This window comes from Homo sapiens, chromosome 9 (genome assembly GCF_000001405.40).
Source record: "Homo sapiens chromosome 9, GRCh38.p14 Primary Assembly".
Taxonomy (NCBI): Eukaryota; Metazoa; Chordata; class Mammalia; order Primates; family Hominidae; genus Homo; species Homo sapiens.
In genome coordinates, this window is record NC_000009.12 from 106,626,728 (window position 1) to 106,646,646 (window position 19,919).

Below are 19,919 nucleotides of genomic sequence, written 5' to 3' on the forward strand. Positions count from 1 at the left end.
GCTAGACAGGGACTCAGGGCTGAAGGCAGCGATGTGAGGAGTGCCAGGGGGTAGAAAACAGGGATAGGGAAGCATGATAGGGGTAGGAGGAGAAGGGAAGACAGACAGAAAGGAGTCAAGTATGTGTAAAGCATAGAAAATGGCTGGCGATTACATAGAGAAGGGTATTCTAAAGCTGGTGGGACAATCAAAATATACGAATTGTAAAGGTTAAGTGAAATGTTTATTTTAGTCCTTTCTCCTCTTCAGTCAGCCTGACTGAATACGATTAACAGGCACACTGCGCTAGCTGCATACTAAAATTAGGTGTTAGTTCGACTTCTCACTCACAGCATTAATGCACAGAGGGCTCTTACACATAAATGCCTTTCTCACCAGGCTCAGGCACCTCACATCCTTCCTCAAAGTTGTACGTTAAAAAGGAAACATGGAGCTTTTGTTCAGTTGGCCTGCCTGTGTCAGTCAGTGCCTTGTGCTGGAGAGAAAAACATAGCAGAGTGGAGCATCGGACCTGATTGAGGTCAAATCCTGGCTCAACAACATCCTAGCATTACAACCTTGGGCAAGAATATTTACCTCGCTTAGGCACAGCTTTCTTATCTACTCAATGGACATACACATTTCTCTTTTACCTACCTTACAAGGATTTGGGAGAAAATTAATAAGATAATGCATAGGGAAGTATTTAAAATTTCTTAAATCTTACACAAAAGGACTAATGTAATTGTGTCTATGTTGACCATTATGTCTAAACATTTGCCAGGTTGCTCCCAGTTTACAAATAGAGCAAGAAAGACCCAGACAAGTAACACTGGCTCACTCAGTATATCCCAGAAACCAGGGATAAAAGATGAAAACCTAGTCCACTGCCTTCCAGCCACAGCCTGTGTTCTTCAACCATGTTGCCTTTTTGAGAAAAATATTCCTCACCTCAACTCCATTCTAATATAATATCTGTTCAGCCATCAAGAGAGAAAAGACCAAAGGTATTTTTCAGATTTTTTTTAAAAAACTGTCTTTAATAACTCTTTGAAAGATTGATGTCGAAATCATTTTCTTTCTGAAATTTCTTTATCTTCTCCATCATTTATATATATTATTTTGTGCCTACTTATAAAAGCTGAAATACATGGAATTTTTAGCCTAATGATAATTGAAACATGTGTCCTTGGGTTTTTTTCCCTTTGTTAAGTATACTCACACCAAAAATATATGAGTTTTTCACTTGTTCAACAGTCTCACAAATAAACACTTGTTAATGAATTAGTTTTCAGAAACAATTTATTTTCAATTCCCCGATAGCTTACATATACAAAGCCAATGACCAAGTTTATGTTCACATTCACTGTGTACAAAAAAAGCAGCTAATACTGCTTAAATATGTGTTCCTTGTATTAATACTTGATCTCATTAGGTGACATGCAGTAATGACAACATCACCGAGCTTCAGAGCTGGTTCAAGCCCCAGAAATGCTTCCAGCTAAGACCTTAGGCTTATCTCATTCCCCCTTGAACCTCAGTTTCATCATCAGTAAAGTGGAAATAATATCACACCTGTGTCACACAATTCTTGGGAGAAATAAAAGACCTACTTTTTATGGAACAGTTTTATGAAATTCAAAGTCTTGTAGAAAATTTATTTTTTCTCGGTGTAATTCTTTCAAGCGATAGCTATATGGAGGCAAGAATATTCAATATGTGCTGTGCTGTTCCCCAAGGGTCATGTTTCCATTGTGTTGATTACTGATAAGGAAGGATAAAAGCCTATGACATGAAAGAGGGTGGGAATCTGAGAGGGTGGAACAATCATCTTAAGAAATATGGCCTGTAATTCTTGGAATTAAAGGACCTTAGAGATGATCTAGTCTAGCTCCTAATTTCTCAGTTAAGAAAACAGGACAGGTGGTGTGGGAAAGATGGGCCTTATTTTCAGCAGTGCAAGAATAAAGACCAAACCAAAACCATAGAAAATGCTTTATTTTCTGCAGCTAGCTATTTCGCTACACTGTGCTGTCTCATTTATAAGGACCAAATATCACATTCTCTGGGTGATGGCAGGGCACCCGTGGATGATGCAGCCTTGGAGAAGTCACTCAGGGACTCTCAGAAATAGAAGGGTGATATAGTTTGGACATGTGTCCCCTCTAAATCTCATGTCAAATTGTAATCTGCAATGTTGGAGATGGGAAGTGAATGGCTCATGGGGATGGATTTCTTATGAATGGTTTAGCATCATCCTCTTGATGCTGTCCTTGCAATAGTGAGTTCTCGTAAGATCTGGTTGTTTAAAAGTGTGTGGCAGGCCGGGCACGGTGGCTCACACCTGTAATCCCGGCACTTTGGGAGGCCAAGGTGGGAGGATCATGAGGTCAGGAGATCAAGACCCATCCTGGCTAACACGGTGAAACCCCGTCTCTACTAAAAAAATTAAAAAATAAAAAAATAAAAATAAAAAAATAAAAAAAATTAGCCGGTCATGGTGGCATCTGCCTGTAGTCCCAGCTACTCAGGCGGCTGGGGCAGGAGAATCGCTTGAACCCAGGAGGCAGAGGCTGCAGTGAGCTGAGATCGCACCACTGTGCTCCAGCCTGGGCGACAAAGTGAGACTCCGTAGTAAAAAAAAAAAAAATTGTGTGGCATCTCCCCATCTCTCTCTTCCTCCTATTTTCTCCATGTGACGTGCCTGCTCCTGTTGTACTTCCCACCATGAGTAAAAGCTCCTCAAGCATTGAGGCCTTTCCAGAAGCCAAGCAAATGCTGGCACCGTGTTTCCTCTGCGGCCTGGAGAACTGTGAGCCGATCAAACCTCTTTTCTTGATAAATTATCCAGTCTCCGGTGTTTGTTTATAGCAACGTGAGTACTATACATCTGGCTCTGTAATCAAACCTGTTATACTGACTCTCTTACAAAATCCCCACCAAGTGTCCACTATCCTCTCTATACCTCTGGCGATGGCACACTCAATGCCCATCTAGACCATCCTGACCTCATTTTCAAACACATTTTTTAAATAAGAATGGATACATGTTTGCTGTTGGCCTCTGTCTACCCTCTCTCCTACTCATCTGAGACCCAGGCTGCTAGGATAGATTCATCCAGCCAATATATTCACACCTGCCTGGGGCTGGACTTGGGGATACCCTGGAAAGCAAAACAAATGGCAAGCCTGTGAAAAGGGACAAGCATCAAATAAGTCATTGCAGAATTAGTTACTTCATTGAAGTTGTAATGGGAGTTCTAAAAGAAAAGAACTAGATGCCATACATGAATGTAACAAAGGGATCAAACATAGGCTTGGGGTCAGAAGAGAGTTCCCCAAGAATGTGGTAATCGAGCAGACCTTGGTCCAGTGAAGTTAGATGAGTGTGAAAAGGGAGTTCCAAGCTAAGAAAATTGCTGCTGTGAAGGCCTTGAAGGAAAAGAGCCCAGAGAGTTCTGGGCAAGGAAGGAAGGCCAATGTGGATGGAGCAGAGTGCAGAAGGTGGGGTGGGGAGAGAGGTCAGGAAAGCTACCCCACATATCACTCAAACACTTTACAAGGACTTGTTCCTTTGTTTTTCAAGTTTGTCTATAATCCCCTTAAGCAGGTTGCCTGAAAAGAGCATAAGGGTTATGAACACCAACTGTATTTCAGACTGCGTAGATACAAATTCTGGCTCCATGAATTGCTAGCTGTGAGACTTTAAAGTGGTTCTGTATTTTTCTCTGGATCTTCACCTATAACTGGTCCTAATAGTAGTACTCACTCCCAGTGTCTTGAGAATTAAATTAGTTCATATACACAAAGTTTCTAGAACAGTGTCTGGCATATAAGTGTTGCCTAAGACCTATTTATTACTATAATGGGGCAATGGCCTGACTCCTGTTTTTCTCTAGCTTTTTAGTCTATGTCAATTCAGGTTCTCTGGGAAGCAGACAGGCTGGGTAGGGAGAGCTTCTGGTGCAATACCCATCTGAGGCCCTCTTGGAGGACCCACTGAGAAGCTCTAGAACAGATTCCCTGAGCAGAAAAAGTCAGGTTCTAGTAATGCTGCCATGTTTAGTATGCTGAACATAAACATGAAATTTAAAGGTTGAAGTTTGAAAGCTGGTTTTACCAGAGGTTATGGTTTGAATGTTTATGTACCCTTAAAATTCACATGTTGAAATCTTGGCCTCCAAGGTGATGGTATTAGGAGGTGAAGCTTTGTGGATAGTGATTAGGAATGGGATTAGGGCTCTTGGGTCTTGGGCCTAAGGGAATGTGTTTCTCCTTTTCATTATGTGAGGACACAGCAAAAAGTTGCCATCTATGAGCCAGAAAATGGGTCTTTGCCAGACCTCAAATCTGCCTATGTTTTTATTATGGAATTTCCAGCACCTAGAACTATGAGAAATAAATTTCTGTTGTTTATGAGGTACCCAGTCTATAATATTTTATTATAGCAGCCCAAAGGGAGTAAGACAGAGTCCAAGGAGTGCACATATCACTGTTATAGCTTCTCACTCATTAAGTAGCTCCCCCAGCTCCCTGACCCTCCTTTGAATCTCCCAGACTCTCAGCCGAATTACACTGTCTACTGTCCCCTGGCCCTCCTGGTCTATTTGCTTTGAATAATCCCAAAACCATCCCCCCATACTGATCCATGGAAAAATTCTCTTTCAGAAAACTGGTCCCTAGTGCCAAAAAGGTTAGGGACCACTGTTGAAAGCCTTTTTCACACCTAGCAAAGCTAAGTTATCATTATGTATTTAGCTATGTATAGCTATGTGTGTGTTTACATGTGCACATGTATGCATGTTTAATACAAGCAAAGGTATTTTGGGTAAATAATGGTTTACCATGGTTTGGGTATGTTTGGGTAAATAATGATTTTCAAGTCAACTGAAAGGGATATTTGTGTGTGTGCATGTATGTGTGTGAGAGAGAATAAATAGCATATTGACAAAGTCACCTGGGCCAAATCACGGAATACCTGATAAGCAGTGTGAGCCATTGGATAATATTTCATATGCAATGATGGAATGGAGAGTCAATGGCTTTATTCATGATCCAAGAACTAGGGTCATGAGAAGGCAACCAGGACCAGAGTAGGGAGATCATGAGAAAATCCCAAAGCCGCAGTCCACAGTGGGGCCCAGACCTTAAGAACCAAGAAACTTGTCCTAAAGACACAGAAACAGAAATGGAGCCTTGTGTTAGGCTTGATCCTGTCAACAATGGGGAATCAGTGAAGGCACTAGAGAGTGATGGTCACATATGTGATGGAGAAAGATCCCAGTGAGAATGAACCTAGAGAGAATGGGGAAGGGAGAAGCTGACTCTGGGAGACCAGCTTGGCATTTATAGTAACAATCAATGCTGGAGGAAGATGACAATCTTTGAGGAAACATAATGAGTTCATTATAGGACAAACTATACAAGATTCATTAGAGTGTGAGTGAATTGTAGGACTTGCTGAAATGCTGACTTCAAAGGACTGGGAGATGGAAAAAGAGAGGGTGCAATCAGGGAGGAAGGAGGAAGCAAATGACCAAAGAGAGGAGTGTCAAAATGCAGAAATGTTTGATCTCTTCAACATGATGGAGAAGATGAGTGAAGTTTGCACTGAAAAAAAAGCAAGGTTTTGAATTGTGTTGGTCCCTGGTGATCATTGATAGAGCAATTTTATAGAAGGTGGTGGGGCCAGACCATATTGTGGGTGGATGATGCATTAGTGGGAGGTAAGGATGTGAAAGCAGATACATGATGTGGAGCACAGTGGAAACCATGGCTAGGCTTTGATTTCCTCCAGTCATGTTTGCTTAACCTTTTCTAGTCTTCTTCATACTTTCTAACAGTTTCACTACATCCTGAATTTTCTCTACAATCATTTGTCATGTTGTCCTTTGATATATGGTCTTTATTCTATCTTTGCTACAGACCTTTTTACTCCTGGACTCCTTCTCTCTTGAGATCCTCTATAGGTTTACAGTCAGAGCTGCCTGTTTGATTGTTGCTTCACCTTCTCTTTCCACTTTCCCTGCTCCAAGTGGCGTGTTGTAGAAACATAGCTAGTCATTCTCTGAAATTCTTAAATCAGCTTTTCCAAAGTCCAGGGACATACCTTGAGTTTCATCAGCCACACACATAACCTTACTTTCAGAAGACTTCCTGCTAGCATTCCTGAGAATGTCTGTCATGCAGAACGAGTGGGGTCTTGCCTATGTCCCTTTGCTAGTTAATCTTTATACAAGAGTATATAAAGATACCTATATATCAAACCTGCACGTTGTGCATATGTACCCTAGAACTTAAAGTATAATAATAAAAAAATAAATAAGAAATAATTAACAAAAGATACATTTGTGGCAATTGTCATGTTAAAATCAGCATATAAAATAACATTAAATCTGTAGACCACATAGGGATGACAGGTCATTTCAGTCCGTGAATGCCTATCTTGTTCGACCATGGATGCTAAGAAAGAGAGAAGTCTCCTCCCTTCTTTTCTCCACTTACAATGTCTCTGAAATTAGTACTGCTCACACAATCCCAAAAAACTCATAGAACTCTTTCTTGCTGGGAACACAAGCTCTGCATGCTACTTCAGGTCTCACTAAGATTTTTGCTACATGCCAACCTCTAGTCTATAGCATATGCTTAGTATTAAAGTGGATAATGTAACAAAAACTTGGACCCACTCACAGAGAACTACCATACTTTTTTTTTTTGCTTATTACTTCTTGCTTAGTCATTATTTCTCCAATCTGATAACAAATGTATTAGGCTGGTGCAAAAGTAATTGCAGTTCTTGCCATTGAAAGTCATGGCAAAACCCACAAGTTACTTTTTTGCACCAATATAATACAATTACCAGGATTAGCTGGATGACCAGATTCCTCATCTAGAATGGCATGGTAGCTTTCTCCCAAGTCTCTTATGTGAGTATATCCTGTGTTGATCAAGATATAAAATGCAGTTTGATAAGGATGCCAAGACATTTAAAAATAAAAGAATAGTCTTTTAAACAAATGCTCCTGGATAAACTGGATATCTGCATGCAGAAGAATAAAGTTGGACTCCTATATCACACCATGTACTGTGCAAAAATTAACTCCGAATGGGCAAAAGACCTAAATGTAAAGGCTAAAGCTATAAAACTCTTAGAAGAAAATATGAGAGTTAATCTTCATGACCTTGAATTAAGCAAGTCTTATTAGGTATGATACCAAAAGCACAAGCAACTGAAGAAAAAAATAAAGTGGACTTTATCAAAATGAAAAATATTTCTGCTTTAAAGAACACCATTAAGTATGTGAAAAGACAATTCACAGATTAGAAGATTTTTGCAAATCATATATCTGAAAGGATAGTTGTATCTACAATATAGAAAGAAGTTTTAGAACTCAATAATAAAAACAAAAGCCCTATTAAAAAATTGACAAAAGATTCCAATAGACATTTCTCCAATGAAGATATACAAATAGATAATAAGCCACATGTAAAAATGTTCATCATTAGCCATTAAGGAAATGCAAATCAAAGCTACAGATAAATACAACTTCATACCCATTAGGATGGCTTTAATTTAAATGACAGACAGGAACAAGCATTGAAGATGAGTAGAAACTGGAATCCTCTTACATCACTGATGAGAATGCAAAAAGATATGGCTGCTTTGAAAAACAGTCTGGTAGTTTCTCAAAAGGTTAAACGTAGAGTTGCCATACAACTCAGTGATTCAACTCATAGGTATATAACCAAGATAAATAAAAAACATATGTTCATACAAAAAGCTGTACACAAATGGTTATAGAAGCATTATTCACAATAGGCAAAGAGTGGAAATAATCCAAATGTCCTTCAACTGATAAATGGATAATCAAATTGTGATATATTTTATTCAGCCATACAAAGAGATGAAGTGCTGATACCTGCTACAATATGGATAAGCCTTGAAAATACTATGCTAAGTGAAAAAATCAGACAGAGAAAAAAAAAAAAAACATGCAATGTGTGAATGTGTGATTCTACTGATACAAATCTCCAGAATAGGGAAATCCATAAAGACAAATTAGTTTTTGTTTAGGGCAGAGATGAGGAGCTTAGAGAGTGATAGTTAAAAGCTATGGGCTTTTTTTTTATGGGGGAGGGTGTGGTGAGGAAAAAAGTGTTCTGAAACTAGATAGAGCTGATAGTTTCACAACTGTGTTATTAATACACTAAAAACACTGAATTGTAAATTTTAAAATGATGAGTTTCACATATCATTCATCTGTTATGTGGATTACACCTCAATTTTAAAATGTTAAAGTGGAGGAAAAGAAAGGGGAAGAGAAGCAAGAGGGGAGAGGAGGGGGAAGGACAGGAAGAATAAGAAGGAGAAGAGGGAGGAATTAGAGGAAGAAAAAGAGGAGAAGGAGGAGAAGGAGGAGGAGGAGAAGAAGTAGTAAAGTGAGCAGGACAATAACTAACAATTTTGCAGAAAAAGTTCCAGGAGGCAAGTTAGCTACTTTGCCAGTAAAGATTAGGTTCATTAAAACTCCAGATTTGATAGATCCTTTCAACCTACCAACAGGTAGCAGGGGATATCTTATGCTGTCCCCATCAGGTGTAACATCATTACTAACGTATTAACATTGAGCTTTTGAACCATAGATGCTGTACATTACATTTGGACAGATACTCCATGTGCCCAAGACCAGGTGATGTGTGCTGCACAGATTTTTTTAAATTATAATTCAAATCTGGAAAGGATTTTAAAGATTGTTATAATCATGATCAATTAATAACAACTAAATTTGATACAGTATAAAATAAATATTTGTTTGATGGGGATGGCCTCTATCTCTCTCTTTGAATTTCTCTAACCTTGAATTTTATCTGTCTTGTGGCCCTTATTTCACCCTATCTTGTTGTATGCTGCTTTCATGTCTGTATTATCTCACTGATAGATTTTCAATTCTTTAGTGCAGTATCATCTCTGTAACCCTCATGCATAGCACAGGGCTAGCCAACAGTATCCTGGACTCAGTTGATGTTTGTTGGTAAATGAATCAATGAACCTCTAATTCCATTTGGAACTGGACAGAGTACACATATAAGGGAATTTTCTCAAAATAATTTCAACTTTCATTTTAGATTCAGAGCAGGTTTGTTACATGGGTATATTGCATGCTGCTGAGGTTTGGGATATGAATGATCCTGTCACCTAGATAGTGAGCATAGTATCCAACAGTTCATTTTTAAAACCTTGCCCCACTCCCTCCCCACTCTATTAGTTCTAACAGTGTCTATTGTTGCCATCTTTATATCCATGAGGACCCAATATTTAGTTCCCACTTACAAATGAGAACATGTAGTATTTGTTTTTCTGCTCCTGCATTAATTTGCTTGGAATAATGGTCTCTAGCTCCATCCATGTTGCTCCAAAGGATATAATCTTGTTCTTTTTAATGACTGCGTAGTATTCCATGGTATATATGTATATTCTGTGTATCCAATACACAATTGCTGGGCACCTAGGTTGATTTCATGTCTTTGATATTGTGAGTAATGCTGTGATAAACATACACATGCATATGTCTTTTTGGTAGAAAAATTTGTTTTCTTTTTGATACACATATAAGGGATTTAAAAAAATAATATAAGAATGTTGTTATATTAGGGGTAGAAGGACTATTGCCTATACCCACTCCCCAAATTAGGCTCAGTTTCCACAGTGACACAGCCTCCAACTCTATTCTATGTTGAAATGACTTCTATTAATGTTTTTGAGCAGCCATTTCATGATGTACAACTGGAACATGGTTCCCCTTTATAACACTAGTTAGATTTTGGGAATTGTAGAAAACTTTGGCTGGGGTTAGCATTTAACTATCTGGGAGCAGTTGCGTTCTTTTATAGATGTTCTTTGAAATATAGATGAATCCAAAATTCAGAATGCAGATCAGTAATTTTCTTTCTGGATCTCCTGTGGCCACCTCAAGAGCGCCCCTTATGAGGCCACTACAAACCCCAGTGTCAGAGCTCTTCCTGGTTCCGAAGAGCAGGCACTTTCAAGGGAGTCCTGTGGGGAGTGAGTTGTTCAAGGGGAAAGCAAGGCATTGTTCAGGATTTAAAGAGCCCCAGAGATCTGTGAAGACCTTCTGCTACTGATGTCTTCATAGGCTTTGGTACGATTTGCTTTCTCATCCCATAGCAGCTGGAAAATATTTTCAGAAATTTTGTTTCAATACAAAATTTTTATTTAGATTTTGTTTTTTTGAAGAAGGGAATTCAGAATTTTGTGAGAGATTTAAAATATATGCAATGTGTTTTTGATATCTTTAGACTTTTAATGCCTATTAAGTTTTAGAAATAATTGTGGCTTTGACAGAATTTGGTTTGCTCATAATTTATCACATTTGATGCTTTTCTTTAATTACAATAATATATGCAACCATCTTCAGGCTTATAAAGTGCTTTTTCAGTCTGCCCTCATCACAAGATGACTAGGAACCTCATTTTATGGATGAAAACATTGAGCTTAAGAGAGGTACAGTGATGTGCCAAGCTCACACAGGTAGTAGCAGAACCAAGACTTCAAAGTCAGGCATCAGGCTCTAGATTTTATCTTTTTCAGCACCTCACCTTATCCTATTCATATTCAGATATGCGAAGACTAGACCTCAGAGGAAGTCAAACAGAATTTGAGGGCATATAGTCCAAAATTAACATGGACAGAAAAAAGTAAGCCAAGCCTCAAGATATAGACAAGATGCATCTTATGAGTTTTAGTCTCTCTCTTTTTGATTCAGAATCACATCTCCTTTCTTATCACAATGCAGACGTTAGGTTTTCCCCAGACTGAATTTACAGATAATAAGAACCCCAGCTCTTAGGTCTGGGATTCAGACAAACATTCTCCCAAGGCAAAGGTTCAGTGCCTTACGTACTGGTATAAATGGAAATGCTATAACATTCCCGTATGCAAACAACTTGCCAAAACAGTGTAGTGTTTCAAAAGCCATGTACTGAATGGAGACAAGATTTCTGTACAAGCTGTGGGAGCAGGGTGAATTTATGAAGCAGAAAGTATGGGCTGAGGAAGAGATCAGCCCAGTAACAGTTTACTGGCCTTGCCGTTCTCTTAAGAGGCACTAATGGTAGTGGACTGGTGCAATGGAAGTAAACCCAGCTTCATTTAAAGCAGTAGCATGAAATTGGTTGCAATAAAATTATGCATTAAGTGTGCATTATGTTTAATAAGACTGGATTGCACTTCCCATGTTTACTCTGTGACTATTGAGGCTGATCCAATTTTCTAAAGTTCTCCAATTGGTTCACGATCGAGTTTTCGGCCAGAAGGTCAAATTTCCCTTGCTGTTATTATATGTCTCTATTACTTTACTATGGCATTTACACTTTATATTCATTACTTTTTTTCTGTCTCCTGAACCTTCCCCATTCCAAAATGTTCCCTGTAGATGGCCGGTTTGACACAAATTAGAACAACCTTGATAGCTGTCAACTGGAGACTATCTGAGAACAAAAGGACATTATTGCAAACCAGCACTGGAGGTAATTTCATGTGCTTTCTCTGAAGACTTCTTAATGGCCTTTGAGAAATAACACAATTCAGATCTGCAACCAGGAGGCAGGGTAGATGTTGGACAGCATGGGAAACATGTGACTTGGACTTTAGATCCTACCATCTAGGGGTTAGGAGTATTACCATTAGAAAATAGAAATATCTATTTTTCATTTCACGCATATTAATTAATTCATCTAATTAGAAACACTCATTGGGAACCTACTATGTGCCAGATAGTATGAATGTGGTGAGGATACACCAATGAATAAGACATGGTCCTGTTGTAATTTTATAGTATAATAGGGATGGGAAGTAGGGATGTTGATACATTAAAATATACTTTCAATTCACTGAGATATATGAAATAGCAGAGGAAGAATTTAGAAAGTATAATTAGTATTTCTGGTGGAGAATAGACAACCTTTGCAGAAAAGGTGAAAGAGCTTTCTAAAGAAAAAAAAAAGAAAGAACAGAAGGAATAAAAGGCATTCCAGGCAGAGAGAATGGCATATGCAAGACATGGAGGTGTGAAAGAGGATGATATATTTAGGAAATCACAAGTAGATCACTGGGGGCCATAAATGGTACGGGGACTAGAGTGGAATATGAAATGGCAGGAAATGAGGCCAGAGTGTGAGGATTGCTCAACATAAATCTGTCAGGGGTTTAGATATTATCCCATAGTCATGAAGGCATCAACGAAAAATTCTCCCAAACAAAGAATTTTAATCTTTTACTTCTACAGCTTGGTTCAAGTTGGGTGAAGAATAAATAGGACCCCCTTGAAACATCTTTCTGAAAGAATACATTGAGGGAAGTGTAAAACAATGCATTGGTATACATATGTGTATGTATGTGAATAAACATATATATCATACATACATATATGCATATCACATACTGTATTATGTATATAGTGTGCATACCTATTATATGCATATAACATATATGCATATGTATCTGTATAGATAGATAGATATGGCAATACTTTCTTGTAAACTTTTACAATAGTCATGGACTTTAGCCATGTTGAATTAACGTGCATCATTCTTACACTTACTTATCATTGTAAGCAACTCTGAAAGAAGATAAAAGTACATGAAGAAATCATTTGCAGGCACTGGACAAAAAAGAGTGCAAAACTATAATCTTGAGAGCAGGACACACACAGGTAAGCTCCACATTCATATTGTGTTCCTACATGAGAATATTTTAAAATATTTCATATAAGTAGACCCCAAACTGAAAGCATCAGTATCCCTAGAGAAAGGAAACAGAGATCAGAATTCAGACTGCTGTGGCAGCTAGAATTTATAAGGCAAGGTACTAGAAATAAGAGAACTGTACCAAAAAGACCTCCAGAAATTTCCATTGAATCTCTTTAAGTCTTTGCCCAGATACTAATCTGTATGTGAATATGGCAAGATTTGGTCGGGCACAGTGGCTCACACCTGTAATCCCAGCACTTTGGGAGTCTGAGGTGGGCGGATCACCTAAGGTCAGGGGTTTGAGATCTGCCTGACCAACATGGTGAAACCCATCTCTACTAAAAAAAAAAAAAAAATACAAAGATCAGCGAGGCATGGTGGCCCGTGCCTGTAATCCCAGCTACTCAGGAGCCTGAGGCAGGAGAATCACTTGAACTTGGGAGGCAGAGGTTGCAGTAAGCCCAGATTGTGCCACTGCACTCCAGCCTGGGTGACAGAGTTTTGCCAAAAAAAAAAAAAAAAAAAGCAAGATTCAACAAAGACTGGCATGGAATAACTACACGCAAACTGTCAGCTGATGAGCGATCACAGAGGTCACACAGTACAAACGGAGATCAGATTTCCAGAGTAGATTGTCCTCAGTGAACACCTCTGCCATGAATGTAAGTCTTCAGAAAAGATACGTGTTGGGGGCAGTGCTACTACTTTAATCATGGAGTAAGGATTAATTGAAAGCCTGATGCATCTGAACTAACATCAAGCCTTGACAAGACCAAGCTGATCTGCTTGTGTGTGAATTAGCTGAATTGCAGACAGACACACAGACACACACACACACACACACACACAGAGGGAGAGAGAAAGAGAGGGAGGGAGGAAGGGAGGAAGGGAGAGGCTGATAGAAGCTATAAAGGGAAACAGCAAAACCCAGACTGTCAACAATGTAGAAACCACAAAATCTAAATAATCAAAACTTACTAGCCATGTAGAGGATCAAGAAGATATAAACCATAAATGAAGGGAGGGGAAAAGTAAACAGAAAAAGAAAATAGACTACACATATATTGGATTGAGTAGATATGGACTTTAAAGTAGCTAGAATAAATGTACTCAAAGCTGTAAAGTACAAGATGAGCATGATGAATAAACAGATGAGGAACCTCAGCCAATCAAAATAATTATTTTTTTAAAGGGAGCTAAAGGAAAATAAAATTCTAGAAATAAAGAATACAGCATCTGTAATTAAAATTTAATTGAAAAGTTTACTGAATGACCTTCATAACTTATTAAATACTACAGAAGGAAAGATCAGCAAGCTTGATGAGAGATTAACAGAAAACATCCAAACTGAATAACTAAGAGTGAAAAATACTTTAAAAAAATGGATCCTCTGTAATCTGTGGGAAAATATCAAGTGGATTCTTATTGTAAGTATACTTGGAGTCTTAGAAGAATCTAAGGGAAGAAAAATAAATTTTTTTAAATGGCCAAAAATTTTACAAAAGCAAATGAAAATATCAACCACAGATCCAGGAAATTCAGTGAATACCTGGAAGAATAAACACACACACAACAAACATACCTAGGACAAAATAGTCAAATTTCTGAAAATCAAAGATAAATAAAAATCTTAACAGCAATGAGAATAAAATAACATTATTTAGAAGGTAACAATGATAAGATTCACTGGTGACTTCACATCAGAAATAATAGAAGCCAGAAAATAAGAAAAAGGTATATTTAAACTACTAAAACTAAAACAGAACAAAACCTACTAATCTAAAATTAGATATGCTTCAGAAATAAAGATGAGATAAAGACATCTTCAGGTAAGTTAGAGCTAGGAAAATATGGTGCCAGTAGGTATGCACTACAAAAAAAATGTTAAAAAGATTTCAAGCTAATGCCAAATTGAAATGCAAACCTACAAGAAGAAATGAAAAGCATTGTAAATGATAAATATGTCGATAAATACAAAACACTACTTTTTCTTTGAATTGCTTTAAGATGCTTTTTAAAAGAAAGATAATCGGTGGCTCAAGGCTATAATCCCAGCACTTTGGGAGGCCAAGGCACATGGATCACCTGAGGTCAGGAGTTCGAGACCAGCCTGGCCAACATGGTGAAACCCCGTCTCTACTAAAAATACAAAAAATTAGCTGGGCGTAGTGGCAGGCGCCTGTAATCCCAGCTGCTCAGGAGGCTGAGGCAGGAGAATCGCTTGAACCCAGGAGACGAGGTTGAAGTGAGCAGAGATCACACCACTGCGCTCCAGCCTGAGTGACAGAGTGAGACTCTGTCTCAAAAAAAAAAAAAAAAAAAAAGAAAAAGAAAGAAAGATGACAGTATATTGTGGGTTTTAACACATATGTAGATGTAAAAGATATGACAACAGTAGCAGAAATGATGGAATGGTAAATGTAATTATATTTATTACAAGTTTCTTACGTTTCTGTGAAATGATAAAAAAAATTATTTTAAATGGGTATAAATAAAAGGCAATAAATTAAGTATGATAGACATCTGAAAAATATTCAAATATTTGGGAATTCAACACACTTCCTAAACAAGCCATGAGTCAAAGATGTCACAAGGGAAATGAGAAAGTATATTGAACTGAATGATATGAAAAACACAACTTACCAACATTTGCAGAATAGAGATAAAGCATTGCTTAGAGGGAAATGTATAGCTTTAAATGAATACATTATAAAATATAAAAAGTTGATAATTAAAGCTCTAGAATTTCATTCTAAGAAACTCAAAGAAAGAAAATTAAAGCGAGTGAAAGAATGAAATAATAAAGAAAAATGGAAATCCACGAAATAGGAGATGGTTAAATAATAGAGAAAATCACTAACTGCAAAAATATATTATTTGAAATAAATAAAGTTGATAAACCCCTAGGTAGATTAATCCAGAAAAAAATACTAATATCCAATATCAAGAAAATATGATCTTCAATAAAAGAGATTACCAATATCAGAACAAAGGAAAGACATCACCGTAGATTCTACAAATAATGAAATATTATGAACATCATGCCAATAAATTTAATAACTTAAAATGCCAAAAGCACGAACCATCAAAGAAAACATCAATAAGTTGTATTTATCAAAATTAAACTTGCTGCTCATAAAAAGTCATTGTTAAGAAAATTAACATGCAAACCGGAAGGAAATATTTACAATACAGATTCCGACAAAGGACTTGTATCCAGAGTATAAAAAGAATTCATACAAGTCAATAACAACAACAAAAACGAAGTGTGTCTCCAGATGCCAAAATAGGATTAGAAGTGCTAGAGATGTACTGGTTGAAGTATCTGTGAAGATAAACTGGTGGGGGAGTAGTGGCACACAAACAAGGAAAGACATCTAACCCCAGGGCAATTCTGATACCTGTCCAAGATAAGAAAGAAAGAAAAATTGTCTAGGAAGAGCCTCAAATTGCAACACACTCTCAGAATATTTTAATCAGGCTGATGAATAATCTTTAAGCAAAAGTTGCCCTTTAGAGGAATCCTTGTTAGGTGGGCATAGGTTAGACTCACATTCCCCAGTGCTTAGGCACTGGTTGAAAGCAGCAATGGGGAACTGTCAATCAATTATATTTCCCAAAATAAGCTTTCTCAAAGGAGATCTGAGCAGCACACTCCTATGGATGTCAAATCACACAGTTTAAAGAAATAGGCAAAAGAATTAAACAGACATTTCACAAAGGATGATATATGAATGGCCAAAAAGAACATAAAAAATTGCTCTACATCATTAGTCGTGAGGAAATTACAAGTCAAAACCACAATAAGATACCACTGCACACACATTAGAATGGCTGTAAATAAGAATGTTGACAACACCAAATACTAGTGAGGATATAGAACAGCAATAACCCTCATATATTACCTGTGGGAGTATAAAGTGGTAAAACCAGTTTGGAAAATTGTTTGTCAGTTTTCTATAAAGCCAAATGTATACTGACTCTATATCTAGCAATTTCGCTTCTAGGTATTTACCCAAGAGAAATAAAAACAAATGTCCATACAAATGTTTGTTTAAGAATGTTCATAGTAACTTTATTCGTAATAGTCTAAAATGGAAACAACTCAAACATCAATTAATGGAATATTACTCAGCAATAAAAAAGGAATGAACTATTTATATACACAATAACATGGATAGAGCTCAAAAACATTTTGCTAAGCAAAAGAAGTCAGACACACAAGAGTACAAAGTGTGTGATTCACTTAAATGAAATGATAACATTTTTTGTAATGATGAGAAATAGATCAGTGCCTCAGATAAGAGGGTACAGTAGTTCACTGAGGAGGGGCATGAAGAAACTTTCTTGAGTAGTGGAAATGTTTTGTGTCTTGATAAGAGTTTCTGTATTCTTTGGAAGTCATGAAATGCACATGAAGAGAGCTGTGAATGTATACACACACACACACACACACACACGTATATATTATCCACCAATTAAAAAAAAATTAGGTACAACCCTAACCATAAACATCTGGTAGAGTCAAAAGTTTGCATATTACACTAAAATATTCAAAGAAAGTATAAGTTCTTTGTCTCATGATCTGTTCTTTCTCACGAATTCCCCTCCCACAGCTCTCTAGGTAGCTGGGAAACCTAGAACTGGAAATTTACAATATCTCAATCTTTTTTCCACTTTAATCTCTTTTCACATAAAATGTTGGATATATTTTAAGTTCACCTTCCTCTTAGAGATGGCTTAAAGTTTTCCGTATTTCTGGCTGCTCTTTTACTTTAGGTGAGTGTTTCATCTTATAGTGTCCTGAACCCTCCCTGTTCTTTATCCTGAGATGATTTCTGGATCTGATGACAAGGCTTCTTTGCATACTCTCAAAGCAGAGAGAAAAGGCGTAAGTTCCAGCAGGTGTCCTTGGATCCTCTCTTATCTTTACTGGGAAGCGTCCGATCTATTCTGATACTTGGACTGATCACTGTTGAGGTGTTATTGGCCCCATCTAGAGCAAGGTGCTGCTGTTGAAAACTGGAATCCATGGTTCTGGTCATATGTCCCTGTTTGGAAAGCCCCTAAACACAGTGCTGTCTCTCAGCTCCTCAGTGTCCCCTCAGCGAGGCTCACAGAAACTTCTGGATTGATTACCTGACATAGCTACAGACAGCCCTGTCTTTCACCTATTTATTTCCTCCCCAGTCATCACTGCTGTGTATAACCCTACACCATATTGAAAGTAGCCTTGTGAGGAGACTTCTCCTGAAAGCATATGACCTTCCTCTACTATCCCCAAGGTTGCTGGTGACTGTCTCCTCTCTACATCCTCCCACCATATTTTTAAATTCTTTCATGTCTATCTGGATATTTCTGACTCATCTCCACCCACATCTTCTATTTTCTAACGGCTGTATGTCCCCTATGTCATATCCTGAGTTCTTTCTACTCCCTTTGTTCTAATTGTCTAGGACTGACACTAGTTATGAAAGGCACAAGCCAACCTGGAACAAGAGCTCACCGTGAAAAAAAAAAATGCTGCACATTGCCCTAGTATCATCAAAATATTGTCCCATTACACACAAAATATTTAGTTCGGAGTCTATCTTTTTAAGTTGGACAGTCAAACTAGTTTTACTGTGTTTTATTTCTCTTCTATTTTTCTGGCCAGTTCTCCTACAGTCTTGCTAGCTTTTTTTTTTTTTTTTTTTTTGAGATGGGGTCTGGCTCTGTCACCCAGGCTGGAGTGCAGTGGCACGATCTCGGCTCGCTACAAGCTCCGCCTCCCGGGTTCACGCCATTCTCCTGCCTCAGCCTCCCCAGTAGCTGGGACTACAGCGCACACCACCAAGCCAGGCTAATTTTTGTTGTATTTTTTAGTAGAGACAGGGTTTCACCATGTTAACCAGGATGCTCTCGATCTCCTGACCTCGTGATCTGCCCGCCTCGGCCTCCCAAAGTGCTGGGATTACAGGCGTGAGCCACCGCGCCCCACCCAGGCTTGCTAGCTCTTTAACCAATAGCAGACAGGGTGGCAAAAAGAGCCATAATGTAAATCCCAGCAGGGCAGCACCTTTTAGACAATGTGATGCCCATACTAGTCTGATTAGGCTGGCAAAGTTGTGACTCAAAGTCTTTTAAAAAATGGGGGAGGGAGAAGAGGAGTACTAGGCATGATTACACAAACTTAAAGTAGGAAATTAAATTCACCAGCATCAAGTAAAAAAAATCTCAAAATGCTTAAAGATTGAAAATAGAGACATTTCTATTATAACAGTTACCTGAGAATACTCTCCTTATGGAGAGAGGGGCTTATTGGACAGAACCGACTAATCTGTGTTCTCCTCACCCCATCAACATCATATAACACCATCCCAAGGTACCATCATACTGTCCTGATATCCCCAAGGAAAATTAATCAAAAAATTATAATAATCAAAATTAATATAAAACATCGAAAGTACAAAATTTCAACTACTTTCCCTGTGAAATTTTGACCAAGGCTCTATTTGTTGTGTAACAACTTAAAGATCACATATTTTTCATCATGATGTAATATAAATACCAAGAAAGGCCATATCCCCACCTTCCTTGTTTTAGCAGACAGTCATTGCCATTTCATTGTGGTACATTTCACAGCCCTAATGCAATCACAACCAGGAGCCATTTATGAATTAAATTACTCTAGCATTGCCTAAATTTCTGTGAGAAAGCAGATTTACCCCCCTTGAATGTTATTAGTGCAATCCTGGAATTATTTGTGTTTTCAACTAGTGAGACCGAATATAACCTTTCTGCTAAAATTCTGGCAAAAAGACACAGCAATATGTCTAACTTACACATTTGTGTTCATGTTCAATGCAAATGCCTTGGCAAGGAAACTTAGGTCAGAGGCTCCAATCAATCACTGGGATTTGAGACCTTGACTGGACTCTGCAATAGGAACTCATTTGTGGCCTGAACCCTCTTTATTAGACATGTCCACATAATACCAAGCAATGCCCCATTTGATCAGTTGAAGCAACTGACCAGGTCAGGTTGTTGTTTCTTGTCTTGCTTCTGTTTGTTTAAATAAAAGAACTATAGCACGGCAGATAAAGTTTAAGCCCCTTTTGTTACCCCTCACAAGAGCATTTATTCCTCTTCCTCTTCCTCTCTCCCAAAGCTACCACACTCAGGAATTTACTG

The 19,919-nt window shown here is 38.0% G+C and overlaps 1 long non-coding RNA gene across 1 annotated transcript in view; it reads left to right on the forward strand.

Moving 5' to 3' along the window:
• The window catches only part of LINC01505 (long intergenic non-protein coding RNA 1505), a 63,745-nt gene that overhangs the window by 10,670 nt on the left and 33,156 nt on the right, over positions 1 to 19,919 (forward strand). Inside the window, exons 2-3 of the long non-coding RNA NR_104145.1 lie at positions 11,432 to 11,525; positions 12,612 to 12,709. This is a non-coding gene — a long non-coding RNA (long intergenic non-protein coding RNA 1505). The remainder of the gene's footprint in view (positions 1 to 11,431; positions 11,526 to 12,611; positions 12,710 to 19,919) is intronic.